This window comes from Homo sapiens, chromosome 1 (genome assembly GCF_000001405.40).
Source record: "Homo sapiens chromosome 1, GRCh38.p14 Primary Assembly".
Taxonomy (NCBI): domain Eukaryota; kingdom Metazoa; phylum Chordata; class Mammalia; order Primates; family Hominidae; genus Homo; species Homo sapiens.
The window spans coordinates 38,067,363-38,081,482 of record NC_000001.11 but is presented as its reverse complement, the minus strand read 5'-3'; the positions used below and the strand labels follow the sequence as shown (position 1 = coordinate 38,081,482).

Below are 14,120 nucleotides of genomic sequence, written 5' to 3'. Positions count from 1 at the left end.
GAGACAGGTACCATTTTCAGGGAAGAAAGCCAAGGCTCAGAACATACCACAGTGCCTGGTGATTATAAAATATTAGGCTGGGCGCAGTGGCTCATGCCTGTAATCCCAGCACTTTGGGAGGCCGAGGCGGGCAGATCACTTGAGGCAAGGAGTTGGAGACCAGCCTGGCCAATGTGGTGAAACCCTGCCTCTACTAAAAATACAAAAAATTGGCCTGGCATGGTGGCGGGTGCCTGTGATGCCAGCTACTTGGGAGGCTGAGGCAGGAGAATTGCTTGAACCCAGGAGGTGGAGGTTGTGGTGAGCTGGGATCGTGCCACTGCATTCCAGCCTGGGCGAAAAAGCGAGACTCCGTCTCAAAAATATGTATATACATATATATGTATATATATATGTATATATGTGTATATATATGTATATGTGTGTGTGTGTGTGTGTGTATGTATTTTAGGGAGGACAGGAAAGTGTACATTTGTCAAGGTGGAGGGCAGTGGAAGATCGGGCCAGAGGACAAGTCTTGGGAGTAGGCAGTGTATTAAAAAGAAGACAGGAAGAGGCAGCGGGGGCAGATGGCAGCGGCCATTCCACAGTGGACATGGGCCGTGGAGCAGCTGCACAGTGAGCTACCGCCCAAGAAAGACATTATCAAGTTTCTGCAGGACCATGGCTCCAGATTCGTTTCTTGCAGAAACAGGAATTATTAGAAAACATTAAAAATGTGGCCAAGGCAGCTAATTAGGATCATTTGGTTACAGCCTATAACCATTGTTTTGAAAGTAAGCCTTTCAAAGGTACCGAAAGTAAAAGTATTTGAACAAGTGAGAAGTGTGACGCTTAATGAAGAGAAACCCAAAGAGACAAATCTGAAGAGACTCTGGATGAGGGTCCTCCAAAATACATAAAACCTAGCTGGGTGCGGCGGCTCATGCCTGTAATCCCAGCACTTTGGGAGGCCAAGGCAGGTGGATCAATCACCTGAGATCAGGAGTTCAAGACCAGCCTGGCCAATATGGTGAAACCCCGTCTCCACTAAAAATATAAACATTAGCCAGGCATTGTGGCAGGTGCCTGTAGGCCCAGCTACTCAGAAGGCTGAGGCAGGAGAATCGCTTGAACCCGGTGGGCAGAGGTTGCAGTGAGCTGAGATTGCACCATTGCATTCCAGCCTGGGCAACAAAATGAGACTCCATCTTAAAAAAAAAAAAAAAAAGTATCCACTGTCCTGAAAAAGAAATAATAAACAAATAAATTAAAAGGGGGCAGGGGCTGGACACCAGTGGCTCACCCCTGTAATCCCAGTACTTTGGGAGGCCGAGGCAGGCAGATCATGAGGTCAGGAGATCAAGACCATCCTGGCTAACACGGTGAAACCCCATCTCTACTAAAAATACAAAAAATTAGCCCGGCGTGGTGGCGGGCGCCTGTAGTCCCAGCTACTCAGGAGGATGAGGCAGGAAAATGGCATGAACCCGGGAAGTGGAGCTTGCAGTGAGCCAAGATCGTGCTATTGCACTCCAGCCTGGGCAACAGAGCGAGCGAGACTCCATCTCAAAAAAAAAAAAATACAAAAATTAGCTGGGCATGGTGGCACGCACCTGTAATCCCAGCTACTCGGGAGGCTGAGGCAGGAGAATCACTTGAACCTGGGAGGCGGAGCCTGCAGTGAGCCGAGATGACGCCACTGCACTCCAGCCTGGGCAAGAGTGTGAGACTCTGTCCCAAAAAAACAAACCAAAAAATAAATAAATAAATAAAAGGGGGCAGGCTCTGAAGTCAGGCAAACCTGGATTCAAGTCCCCAGTTCAAACACTGTCTAGGCCTCAGTTTTTTCACCTCTCAAATGGGAATAATAAACTCTACCTCATGGAATTGTGAGGATTAATTTTGGTATCAGTTACAGCTTGCTCATAATAGGTGCTCAAAAAATGTAGGCTCCCTCTCTTCCACAATGACATTGGGCATCCAAAATGGTGTGCACTTGCACAGTGACATGTGTCTGTGGTGGACTGTGTAGGGTACACAAACAAAAATTTTTCAAAATCTTCAGATGACATCTGCCCATGTGTGCAGTCCACCTCGAAGAGGCCATCCTCCCTCCTCTACACACAGAATGCCTGTTAGCAGAGAGACATGACTCCCATATATTCCATTGCCTTGTCCAGGTTTCTGCCAGAAGCAAGCAGAGTTGTCCTAGTGGAATCAGCCAGACACATGTGACAAGCTGCATCTCAAGCCAAACACATGTGTTGAGAGAAAGTCCAGTGAGGAAGGGTAAGGAGGCCTGGGTAGGTGTGCATCCTCTGGAGGACAGTGCTGCAGGGCTGGGCCCAGGATATCTGACCGTGAGCCAGAGAGCATCTACGTGATCTTGCATCTGCCAAGTCCTCCGTCTGGGACTGCCTTGGGGCTGAGACCCTTCCTGGATGACTCTCTTCTCTGCTTCCCTCCTAGATGTAATGGGCAACAATATCCCCTGTTCCCGCTGATGATGACAGTGATAACTACGATGGTGATGGTGATGACAACATCTGACATTTTTTTACAACACAATGTGCCAGCCAGTCTTTATAAAATATATGATTACATCCTCAACTTCTGAGAAACTGGGACTGTTACCACTATTTGACAGAAACGCAGAGAGAATAAGTAACTGGCTAAGGGACATGCAGCTGTTCAGTGATGGAACTAGAGATTTGAGTCCATATTGCCTCATTCCAGAGAAATATCCTAGGGAATATTTTCTGCTTCTATCTTGATGGACTCAGAATTTCCTTTTCTTACTCCCTTCCTCTACAAATGTGAACATCCTCTGTGCAGCAGACTAGGCCCTGGGAGAGATACAAAGAGTAAGACATGGTCACTAACTTTATGGAGCTCAAAGCCAATAAATAAGAATCACAGCAAAGTCTAGCTGGGGAGGGACAGGGCTTAACATGGGGCACTACACAGATGATGAAATAGAATCAATTCCCAATGTGAGTGAGGAGTGTGCTGGGCCTATCAGTTAGGTTTGGTGAGGCTGTGCTACAGTAACAGCAACTACTGCAACAAAAAGTTCAGTGACTTAATACATAAAAGTTTATTTCTGCTCATACCAAGTTCACTGTGGGCCAGGTGCAGTGGCTCATACCTGTAGTCTCAGCACTTTGGGAGGCCGAGGTGGGCGGTTCACCTGAGGTCAGGAGTTCGAGACCAGCCTGGCCAACATGGTGAAACCCCGTCTCTACTAAATACAAAAAATTAGCAGGGCGTGGTGGTGGCTGCCTGTAATCCCAGCTACTTGGGAGGCTGAGGCAGGAGAATTGCTTTAACCTGGGAGGTGGAGGTTGCAGTGAGCCAAGACTGCGCCATTGCACTCCAGCCTAGGCGACAAGAGTGAAATTCTGTCTCAAAAAAAAAAAAAAAGGAAGAAAAAAAGTTCACTGTGGGTCCAGCAACTCTTTAGGGTGGCTCCCTTCCCAGTGGTGATTCATAAATCCAGGCTGCTTGTGTCTTATAGCAATGCCATCTGGAATACTTGGCTTCCAGGTCGCCAGGGCAAGGAAGGGGAGCCTGGAACATCACTCACTGGCTCTCAAATGTGTCATCCTAGAGTGTCACATATCACTTCAGCTCACAGGCCACTGGCCAGACTAGTCACATGGCCCCACCTGGCCACAAGGAAGCTGGGAAACATGAGGAGCACATGAATTCAATAAATAGTATGTGTCTCTGCCATAGAACAAAGCTATTCATCCCAGTCAGGCTGCATCATTAAAGGTCTAATGCCCAATCTGAAGAAGGTGATGGGTCTGTTAGGCTCTATCACTCTCAGGCCATACCTGGAGTGTTAAATCCAGTTCTAGATATTGTATTTCCAGAGGCTCCTAGACATATTGGATTCCCAATACAAGAAGAGACCAAGTTAGGGATGGGACTTGAAATTTAGTGTTGTGAAGAGTTGAAATGATGTTTCCTGGAAGAGAGGAGGCCTTGGATATCTAATTTCAGATTCTTTTTTTTTTTTTTCCAGATTCTTGTAAGGCTGTCATGGGACCAAAAAAAAAAAAGAAAGAAATTACTCTGTGGGGCTCCATGGGACAGAGCCCAAACCAGTAGAAGTTACATGGATGATGCCAAGGGGACGGTGGGTGCTGAGCACTTTTACTGCCTCAGGACAGCATGTACTCTCATCCCAGGAATATGCAAGCAGAGTCCAGAACGCCATTTGGTTTGGATATTGTGGAAGAATCCCTGTATCTGAAGGAATTGCAGTAGGCATCGAGTAAGCATCCTTACAGATAGAGTTTGAATGGCAGGGCAGGGAGCACAGCCACATTCACACCCTATAAGCTTGGCATGATGGGGCATCAGAAAGGACCTGGCCTCCGGAGTCCCTGTTAGTCAGATTAGGCTAAGCTTTACTACAGTAACAGCAGCAAAAATGCAAAACAAAAAGCTCCGTGGCTTAACAGATAACAGATTTATTTCTCTGGGTCAGGATGGACTGTCCAGACCTGTCCTCCCTGGACTTAGACTTCTCTCCTCTGCTCCTCTGGTAAGAAGCTCTGCATCTGGGTGCCTCCCACTCTCAGGGACACTTATGAAGGACACCCAATGTGAAAACAAATAAAAGGAAATCACCCCATCAGAGCTATAAGTAATAATCAATAATTCAAAGCCTTGATAAAGTCTTGCTGGAGAGCGCTTCAGAGAGAAGGCAGGGGCTGAGTTTCATGGTTAATTCAATGTCAATTAGCTGATTGCTAACTTCCCTCCAGCAAAATCGCATGCAGTGCAGGGGAGAGAAATCAAACGTGCTCTCGCTTTAACAAGCCTGGTGCTTCAATCATTCATCTCTGGCCGCAGGCTCAGAATCAGTGTCAACAGACGTTCCCTCACAGTTTTATCAACCATTTCTACATGTCACTGTTTTCTCAGCTGCCCTTAATTGTCCCAGGACCATCTCTGGGAGCCAGGGCTACTTGAAATCCTAAGTAAGTCAGAACAGCCTTCTGCTTCCTGGAAGGTGTAGAACCCACAGTTCCTGAAACAGTTTCCCATGATAATCTCTTCCTCCAAGAGACACTGTAATCAGTCAACGTAACGCATGTAAAGTGAACAGCACCGGGCTTAGTACATAGTAAATTCTTAATTAGGGTAGTTTTCCTCTGCCCTCACAAGTCCTGAGGTGGGTACCCTGCTCACCTCCGGTCTTCCAAGACCCTGCAGAGGCCATGGCCACCTTCAGCACCATGGCCAGAGCCTCTGCCCAGAAGTTGGAGGGGGGAGGGGAGGGACAGGCTGAAGAGAAGCTTCAGGGCTCAGAGCGGGAGAGTCAGTGGGAAAATTCGTGTGAAGGAGTCCCAGAGATCACTGAAGCCAGCCAGTTCCCTTTGCATAGGAGGAAAGGAGACTAGAGAGGCCAAGGGATTTGCCCAGAATCACAAAGAAGATGCCATGTCTCTGGCTCCCAGGCACAGCATCTGCACACCTCATGATCCACAGATTGTAAGGTCAGGATCCAGGGTCCCCTCTTCCTTCCTGGGAACCTTTAGGGATGGGACACAAGAGGAGAGTTATTGATGTACAGGGAGAGCCAGGAGGGGTCTGCTTGGGGGAATAGATGGCAGCAAGAAACCTGGGCTCTCCCTGGGGGCACAGCCCTAGTCAGATCTTCCTAGAAGGTGCCCTTTGCCTATCTCTCCTCCCCATAGTTCTGAGCTGGGGCTTTGGTTGATCTCTCACAGGCCTAGCACTGCACAGCACTGGGAAGATAGGGAAAAGTTCCCTGCATGCATCCAGCAGCTTCTTTTGGCAGGCAGACAGACATCGCTCACAAGCGTGGAGCATGCCCATACCTTGTGGACCGTACCCATGTATGGAATAAGTACAGATGCTGTGTCCTGTGCAAGACCAAGGATATTCCTTCCATGGCCCACAGATCTTCTGGATCTGCTCTCCTTCCCCTGGGCCATGGTGAGGAAGGGCACACTCTTTGGTCTCCTCTATCACAGCCTGGCTAGGCCTTGCCCAGGTGTGGCCCAGGCCAGGGCTGGAAGACCTGGCAGTTGTGCCTATCAAGGCCACCTGTGGCCCCTCCTGGTTAGGGATATGTAAGATGTTTGCTTTTTCGGGGGGGTGGGGGGAAGTCTCGCTCTGTCGCCCAAGCTGCAGTGCAGAGGTGCAATCTCAGCTCACTGCAACCTCCACCTCCCAGGTTCAAGTGATTCTCCTGCCTCGGCCTCCCCAGTAGCTGGGGTTACAGGTGTGCGCCACCATGCACAGCTAATTTTTGTATTTTTAGTAAAGATAGTGTTTCACTATGTTGGCCAAGCTGATCTCAAACTCCTGACCTCATGATCCGCCCACCTCTGCCTCCCAAAGTGCTGGCATTACAGGCGTGAGCCACTGTGCCCAGCCTGGATGTTTGCTTTTAGGAGAAGAAGAAAAACTACAATTTCTGGTCCCTGTTAGGCAGTGCAGCTTAACAATGAAATCCTACAGAGGCATCGAGACCTGGGTTTGAATCCTAGCTCCACTATGTACTAGCTGTGGGATACTGGAAAGGTTACTCGCAGAGCCCCAGTTTCTTCATTTGTAAAACGAGGATAATGATAGTTTCAAACTTATAAATTGTTCAGAGAATTAAATGAGATAATTCATGCAAAGTGCTTAGCATGGTGCCCAGCACGGAATAAGTATTTCATAAATAAAGATGATCTTTCTTCAGTAAAAGTTTCCTTTGGAAAATGTCCAAGCCTCTAGGGGATTGCAGGCATCTGTCCATAGCAGAATTAGTATGAAAGTATTCAGGGGGTATCCCAGGCCGCTCCAACCTCCTGGTCCAGATGCTTTTGGGGCAAAATCTGAGCCATGTTCAGAGACCATGTTCAGGGACTGGGGCTGGGACTCAGTGTAAGGTCAGGTTTCAGGCTCAGTCTGGGCCCAAGTTCAAAGCTCTGCAACTAACTCATAACATAGCCTTGGGAAAGTCCCTTCCCAATGAGCCTCAGTTTCCTCATCTATAAAATGGGAACAACATCCTCATCCAGCTTGCCTCCCAGAGGCACCAGGCGAGTGCTGTTGAATCATGCATTTGCAGGCTCGCGCAAACCCCAGGGATCAGCCTCACTCTTCAGTGTTACTTATGTTCCTGTGGCCCTCAGACCTGCTGGATAAGAGATTCTTCTCCCTGTTTCCACAGGCCCACAATGGAGGCCATTCCTCAGGGTTAGAGCAGCCAGGCAGGGGACCCGATGGAGACACGGCAGGACACCCCAAGGCACTGCGGCCCCTCCCAGGAGCTGGGAACAGAAGGCTTGGAATTCACTACGCACATATTTGCTGACTTCTCTGCACTCTGCCTGCTTCAGGCATTCACTTCCCAGAAGTTTATTTGAGGAGATGCAGATGAGCCGGATTTGAGTTCCGCAGACCTGCCCAGACAAATGGCTGAGCCCTTTCTCACTCCCTCTCTCACACACTCTCCACCTCCCTTGCTTTTTCTTTGTCTGTCTGTCTCTCCTGGAAGACCTGCCCTTTGCTCTTGCTTTCTCCCCATGCTGTTTATTCTCCATTTGATCCCCTGGCCCAGATTCACACCCTGCCCTTCTCAGCCCTGAGCTGTGCCCCAGGAGACTGACCCCAGGGAACTGCCTGGCCTGGGTGCCCCTGGTTGGGTTCAGCTGGTGGGAGGCACCGGCAGAAGTTGGAGGGAAGGGGAAGAGGGAGGTCAGGGATTCCCTCCTCACTCCCTCCTTCCTGGGCAACATTTTTAGCAGTGGCTGTGTTTCTCCATGACTACGGCTTGCACCAGGCATTCCCTCCTCCACAACACCATTCCCTCCCCTCGTCTCATCAGCCCTTGAGGTGGTAAGGGCTTCTGACTGTTGCTAGTCCCTGGAGCCCCACCTCTCTTGCTGCTTCCTAAAATCTTCACCCAGGCCTTTGTAGGTAGCCCATTCATCACAGTCGCTGCATAGAAACCATTAGGAGTAGATTCTGTTTGCTGCCAGGCCCCTAACCAAACACTCCTCAAATCCACCACACACTTCACTAGTCCTGTATCACTCGCCTCTCTCTTGATACAAGCTCTCCTGAGCTCAGGGTGGGAAACATTCAGAATGTTTCTGTCATAGCCCTTAGTGGAGACCACCCAAGGGTGCTGAGGGCTGGGGGTAAGGGGTCCCTGCTGTTACACCCACACACACAGAACCAAGGGCCCCTCTCATCTTCTACCCAGGTCAGGGAGACTAGGGACAGCATGAAACTTAGAAAAGCTGGCTTAGAGCACCCCCTTTATCACAAACCAGCCAAAGCATTTAATAACCTCCATTTCTGCCAGTGTAACATAAAGAAATGCAGACCTCTCCCTGAGCGGTTAGGGGATCTACCTGGTGGGCTGATGGACATGTGTGTGGTTTGTGAACTGTAACCATGAGACGGGTGTGGAAAAATATTACTGAGTTCTCACAAGAGGCCAGCAGGACTCCTCCCCTCTCCAAGCTGTAAGGCAGGTGGGGGAAAGGATGACAGGCTTATGGGACAGTCAACATCTGAGGACCATGGCTGCTCCCTGCTCACAGGTGAGGAGGAGCTACTGCTTTTGACTAGTGATGCTGGGGTTGAGGTCTGGAATGGGGGCTAAGGTGGAAGTTGGATCTGTATTTAAGTTGTGGCTGAGATAGAAGCTGATTTTGAAATGGAAATAGGGGTGGGGCTATAGCTGAGGTGAAGGCTGTGATTAGGTTGGAGCTGAGGTGGGGTCAGGTGTTGAGTTTGGACTTGAGGCTGAGATCAGAGTTGGAAATGGATTAGGAGTTGAGGCTAAGTTTGGAGTTTGAGTTGGGTCAAGGGCTAAAATTTGATGTTGAGGTGAAAGCTAAGATTGGCACTGAGTTGGGGCCTGGACATGAGGTTCCAGAATCCTCCCTACCCACTCAGACCTCCACTGGGCTTTGGGAATGTAACTGACCTGCACAGAGGAGGTGTGGCCATATTGACATCTCCTCCTTCTCCTCCCTGGTGTGACTACATTCATTCATTCATTATTCCATCCAGTCACTCGATAAAAAATTTATCCATCACCTTTATGTGCTGTATACTATACTAGATCCTGGAAATACACGGGCGAATCAAGCAGGTGTAGCCGCTACCCTCACGGAGCTTATGGTTTAGAAAAGAAGAAAAACAAGAACTCAATAGTCCTGGAACTAGATGCATAGCTATGAGTGTGCAAAAGCCCAAGGAGCCATGTATCAGAAAGCACAGCAGGTAGAGAGTCATGGAAGGCCACTGGGTGTGAGCAAAGCCTCCTAAGTGGTTCAAAGTCAGTACAGGAAACAGACAACAGAGGGGTTGACTCTAGCTAGTAACCAAGGAATGCTTGTGGAAGGGGTGGCACTGTGCTAAGTTCTCTACAGTCTCTTCTAACTATGACACTAGGAGGCAGTAGATGCAGTAGGAGCCAGATAAACCTAAGCTCAAAGCCAGACTGTGTCAGATACAAACCAGCTGAGCTGTGTAACTTCAGGCAAATGACCTCCCTTCTTCCAGCCTCAGTTCCATTCTTTAAGATGGTGATAGTAATTCCTAGTTTGTGGGGCTGGTGTGAGGATTCAGGATGATGTTTATAAAGTTCCTGGCACTCGTTAGGTGCTCAGTTAATGATAGTTCCTTCCCCATCCAGGGCAAGGAGAATAGGAGGAGCTCAGTGCAAGCAGCCGACTCCCCACAGGGTCCAGCTGTTCAGGCTTGAGCTGTCACCCCTGCAGGCCCAGGCGTGATTTCTCCCTGCAGTTCACGCTCTCCAGGGTGCAGGCATGATTTACACAGCCATCGGGACAACTCCGAATTGGACTAAAACCTAATGACTGGAAACAAGACAAGTAATGAAATTCTACGCAGAAAATTTACAGGGGAGATTTATTAGGTGAGTTTTATTTATGATGCTGAGCACTTAGAGCTCTGGGGTGGGGTGTGGCATTGGACAAATAAATCCAGTCCACACGCTCCCAGCCCAGACATCACCTGCCCTGGCACCACCTCTGATCCACAGTCCTAGACTCCTGCTGGGTAGGAGACCTCTGCCCAGCCCCCCTGTGCCCACTGAACCCACAATCTTCCCAATCTCTTTCCTTTTTTGCCACCTTGTCCCTACACGGCCAGCCGCTCCAGGCCCTGGGTCTCTCCTGCATTGTTCTTGGGGCAGGTTGTGCCTGGAGGCTGGACCTCAGGAACATGGAGGGAAGGGGCTGGAAAACAGGAGCTCCAAGACTGGCCAGTCCACAGTTAGCACTTCAGGAGCCTGACCATGGAGTCAGTATTCCCTAAGGTGTGAGGGGCAGGCAGAGAGGGCAGCAGAAACCTGAGGACAAGGAAGATGCCATTCCAGACCAGCAGTGCCCTTAGGGCAGGACTTTCTTGTGGCCAGGACAGGGGAGCAGCTGGTAGGAGTCTAGAGGGGAAATGGAGGCAATTCTGCATTGCACCTGGGTCTACAAGAGGCCAAAGACCCAGTCAAGAGCTGCAAGACTGTTTTCGGCTACAGAAAACAGTCTCCCTCCTCTCGAAGCTGTCCCTCTCCTGCTCCTCATAGGGCAGAAGGAAAAGCTGTTGCTTCTCATAACCCTCCCCATGCCCACCCTACACCACCACTGCCACTAGCCCCTTCTTTCCCTCACTTGCCTCTCTTGACTCCAATAACTCCTTGACCGATTTTCTCCTCTGTTCTGCCCACCCCAACCACACTGACCCCCTTGATGTTGCTCAAACATGTCCAGCAAGTTCCTGCCCCAGGAACTTCACTCGGCCTAGAATGTTCTTCCCCCAGTAAACAGTATAGCTCACTCCCTCACTTCCTTAACTGGCACCTTCTCAGTGAAGTCCGACAGGCTCCTGACCAACCCATCAAAATCTCCCTGGACACTTTCTAGCCTCTTCCCTGCTTTATTTTTCCCCTGAGCACATATCCCTAAATGCTTTACCTTTTCATTCTTTATCTTGTTTATTAGATGTCTCCCCTACCAGAACATAAGCTTTGTCCAAGAGGACAAAGTTTCTGTCGGTTTTATTTACCACGATAAACCCCAGCTCCTGGAACAGGGACTGGCATATGAAAGGCACTCATCAAAATGTGCTGGAAGATGGAGCCCAGGCTCTGATAAGCACAGCTGCCCCTTACTGGGCATTGTGCACAGGCATGTGTGCCAGGTGCCAGGTGCTGTGCCACATGGTTACCCCCACTAGCGGCTCATTCAGCAAGTACTCTCTGCACTCATTCCTGGGCCAGGTACTGAAGGCACCAGAAGAATCACACCCAGATACTGAGCTCAAGCAGCTCCCAGTCTGGGGGGGCAGGAGAGACCTGGGCCCAGTAAGGACAATTCCAAGTGCATAGCTCCGGGGAGACAGCAAAGGAAGTCAGAGAGGCCCAAGTGCCAGGACAGTCACAGAGACTTGTAGGAGGCACCCACATGCAGCCCTTGCAGGGAGGCAGGGATGACATAGTATCTGTCAGCAGCAGCCATGGAGCCAGATAGGGGTCCCAGCTGGGTCCCAGCTCTGCCATTTACCAGCTGTGTGACCTCAAGTGTTCCTTAACCTCTCTGTGCCTCAGTTACCTCATCTGTAAACTGGAAATAATACTCACTAGATGACAGTGAAGATGAAGTGAATCTTGTAAAGCTCTTCCAACAGACCCAGAAAATAATTAACAAGCACGTAAGAAATGTTAGCCAATATCATGACTCCTCTTATTACATTATTGAAAAATAACAGGCAAGAGCGAAGAGGAAAGACTTCACAGGAGCAGTCTGGGAAGAGGTAAAAGATAGAAAAGGTATGGGCGTGGCAGAGCACAGTGGCTCATGCCTATAATCCCAGTGCTTTGGGAGCCCAAGGTGGGTGGATCACTTGAGCCCAGGAGTTCAAGACCAGCCTGGGCAACATGGCGAAACCCCATCTCTACAAAAAATACAAAAATTAGCTGGGTGTGGTGGTGCACACCTGTAGTCCTAGCCTCTCAGGAGGCTGAGGTGGGAGGATCGATTGAGCCCAGGAGGCAGAGGTTGCAGTGAGCCAAGATCGCACCACTGCACTTCTCCCCGCTGGGTGACAGAGCCAGACCTTGTCTCAAAAAAAAAAAAAAAAAAAAAAAAAGGTATAGGCATGTTCTAGATGAGATGCAGCAGAGCCTTCCATACTGGTCCAAGAGCTGTGCTACTAAATGTCTAACAACTGGCTCTAGGGGTGCAGAACCCTGATTTGTAGCATTTGCTGATTTTTGTAATGTAAATCCTCCCACCATGACCAATTTCAAACAACCAATGTGACATCACTGAACAAGAAGTTGGAAAGAGATGCACAGCTGGCACCTGCTATCCCCTACAGCCACCTCCAGCCTATGGGCCAGATCGAAGGGGCGGGCCCCTACCCACCCCACCCATCAGAGTCCCGGACATGGTGGCTCCATCTGTAACCTGCCTTTGGCCTCCAGGTTGGGCACTAGAAAGGAAAAAGATTAGGCGTGGGAGCGGGGGCAGGCAGAGGCCAGCTCAGATATGGCCTGAAGTCTATGTGTGGCTGGACCTCAGAGATCTCTTATCACAGCGGACCTTGGGAGCCAAGCACTCACTCTCTCATGCTCTCTCTCTCTCTCTTTCTCTCTCAAATACACACACACACACACACACACGCACATACATTCACACGTGCATACATGCACACACACACACACCCCTGAATCCTCAGCTCTGAGCCCCATGTGCCCTAGACATGGGCACTTCTGCCTCTGGGGAGGGCCAAGGTGACTTGAGCCATTGGTGTCCTAGATGGATTGAGTAACAGGGCCCTTCCCAGACCCCACGTTCCAACCTCCCATGTGATTTCCCTTTAGGAGGCCCTGGTCCCTTCCCGTGGGCTTGGATGGGGGAGGCTCTAGAAACCAACTTTAGAGACTTGGGGCCAACCCCCGCAGAGCTGCTCTACTGAGGGGGGAGGGACCCTAGAAGCTCCAGGGTTTGCCACCTTGCTCCCTCCCTCCCACCAGCCCTCCCCTGCAGGTTATCAGCGTGAAAACAGGAAGGCTGGCAGTGCTATTAATAATACATGAAGCCGAGCTCTGCCCCGATCAGGCGGGCAGAGGCGGAGAGGCAGCTCCAGCCCGCAAGGGAGGGAGACAGCCAGGCTGCTGGGGGCCTGCCTGGCTGGGCCTTGGGGCAGGGGAAGGGAGCCCCTCTCCTCCTTCTCCCATTTGCTTTGTGTGCACCCAACACTGAGGCCAGAGACTTGTGCTTCCTCTATTTGCTGTCGTTTCCCTTCTCATCCACTGCCTGCATCCCACAGAAGCTCCAGCCAATATAGAAAATCTTCTGGCCTGAGACACAGGACCTGGGTCCTGGAATGTGGGAACCCACAGAGGCCAGAGGAACAACCCAATCTTTGGTGTCAAACAGATCTGGGTCTGAATCCCAGTCTATGCCCTCCTGCTATGTGACTTCAGACAAATCACCTAACCTCTCTGAGCCTCAGCTTCTTCAACTGCAAAATCAGAGACTACTAAGAAAATAATGGGAATAAACAAAAGAATGGATGTGAAACCCCTAGCATAGAGCAGATGTTCAATAAATGGCAGCTGGCTATTATTATTTCTATACCTATGAACTTGGGCAAGTTTCTTCCTTCCCTGGACCTCGATCTCCCCCTCCATAAAAAGAGAGGATTGAGCTAGGTATCTCTAAGAGCTTCCCAAGTGCCAACGGGATTTTCATGACTACAGGATGAAAAACCCTAGGCCATGTATGTAATGTTACATAAGAGCTAATGTTCTGCCCGAGGGATTAGAGAGCACAGAGGCATTTGTTTTGGCTATGATGGACAGAAAAGTCCTCCCTGAGGAAGGGACATCTTAGCAGAAATCAGAATCAAGTGAGAGAGTGAACATATGGAGAGATGGCAAATCACTCCCTGCAAAGGGAACAGCAAGCAAAGGCCCTGGGGTGGAAATAAGCTTAGCAAGTTTAAGGAGTTACGGTGTGGCTAGAACATAGGAGCACGTGCTAGCCACACATGGCAGGAGGGAAGATCTGTAAGGAAGCAAGAGGGTGAATCACCTTCAAAGGGTCTGGAAGGCCATGGTA

At 49.9% G+C, this 14,120-nt stretch overlaps 1 long non-coding RNA gene across 1 annotated transcript in view, besides 1 other annotated feature; it reads right to left on the bottom strand.

The window, feature by feature from the left end:
• Nucleotides 1–14,120, bottom strand: part of MIR3659HG (MIR3659 host gene) — a 72,397-nt gene that overhangs the window by 38,048 nt on the left and 20,229 nt on the right. The window lies entirely within an intron of this gene.
• Nucleotides 9,647–10,146: an enhancer, noted in NCBI's record as "H3K4me1 hESC enhancer chr1:38537009-38537508 (GRCh37/hg19 assembly coordinates)". NCBI's record gives its function as "activates a minimal SCP1, AML or CMV promoter by ChIP-STARR-seq in primed H9 embryonic stem cells {active_cell/tissue: H9 hESC(primed)}" and the evidence as "EXISTENCE:reporter gene assay evidence [ECO:0000049][PMID:30033119]".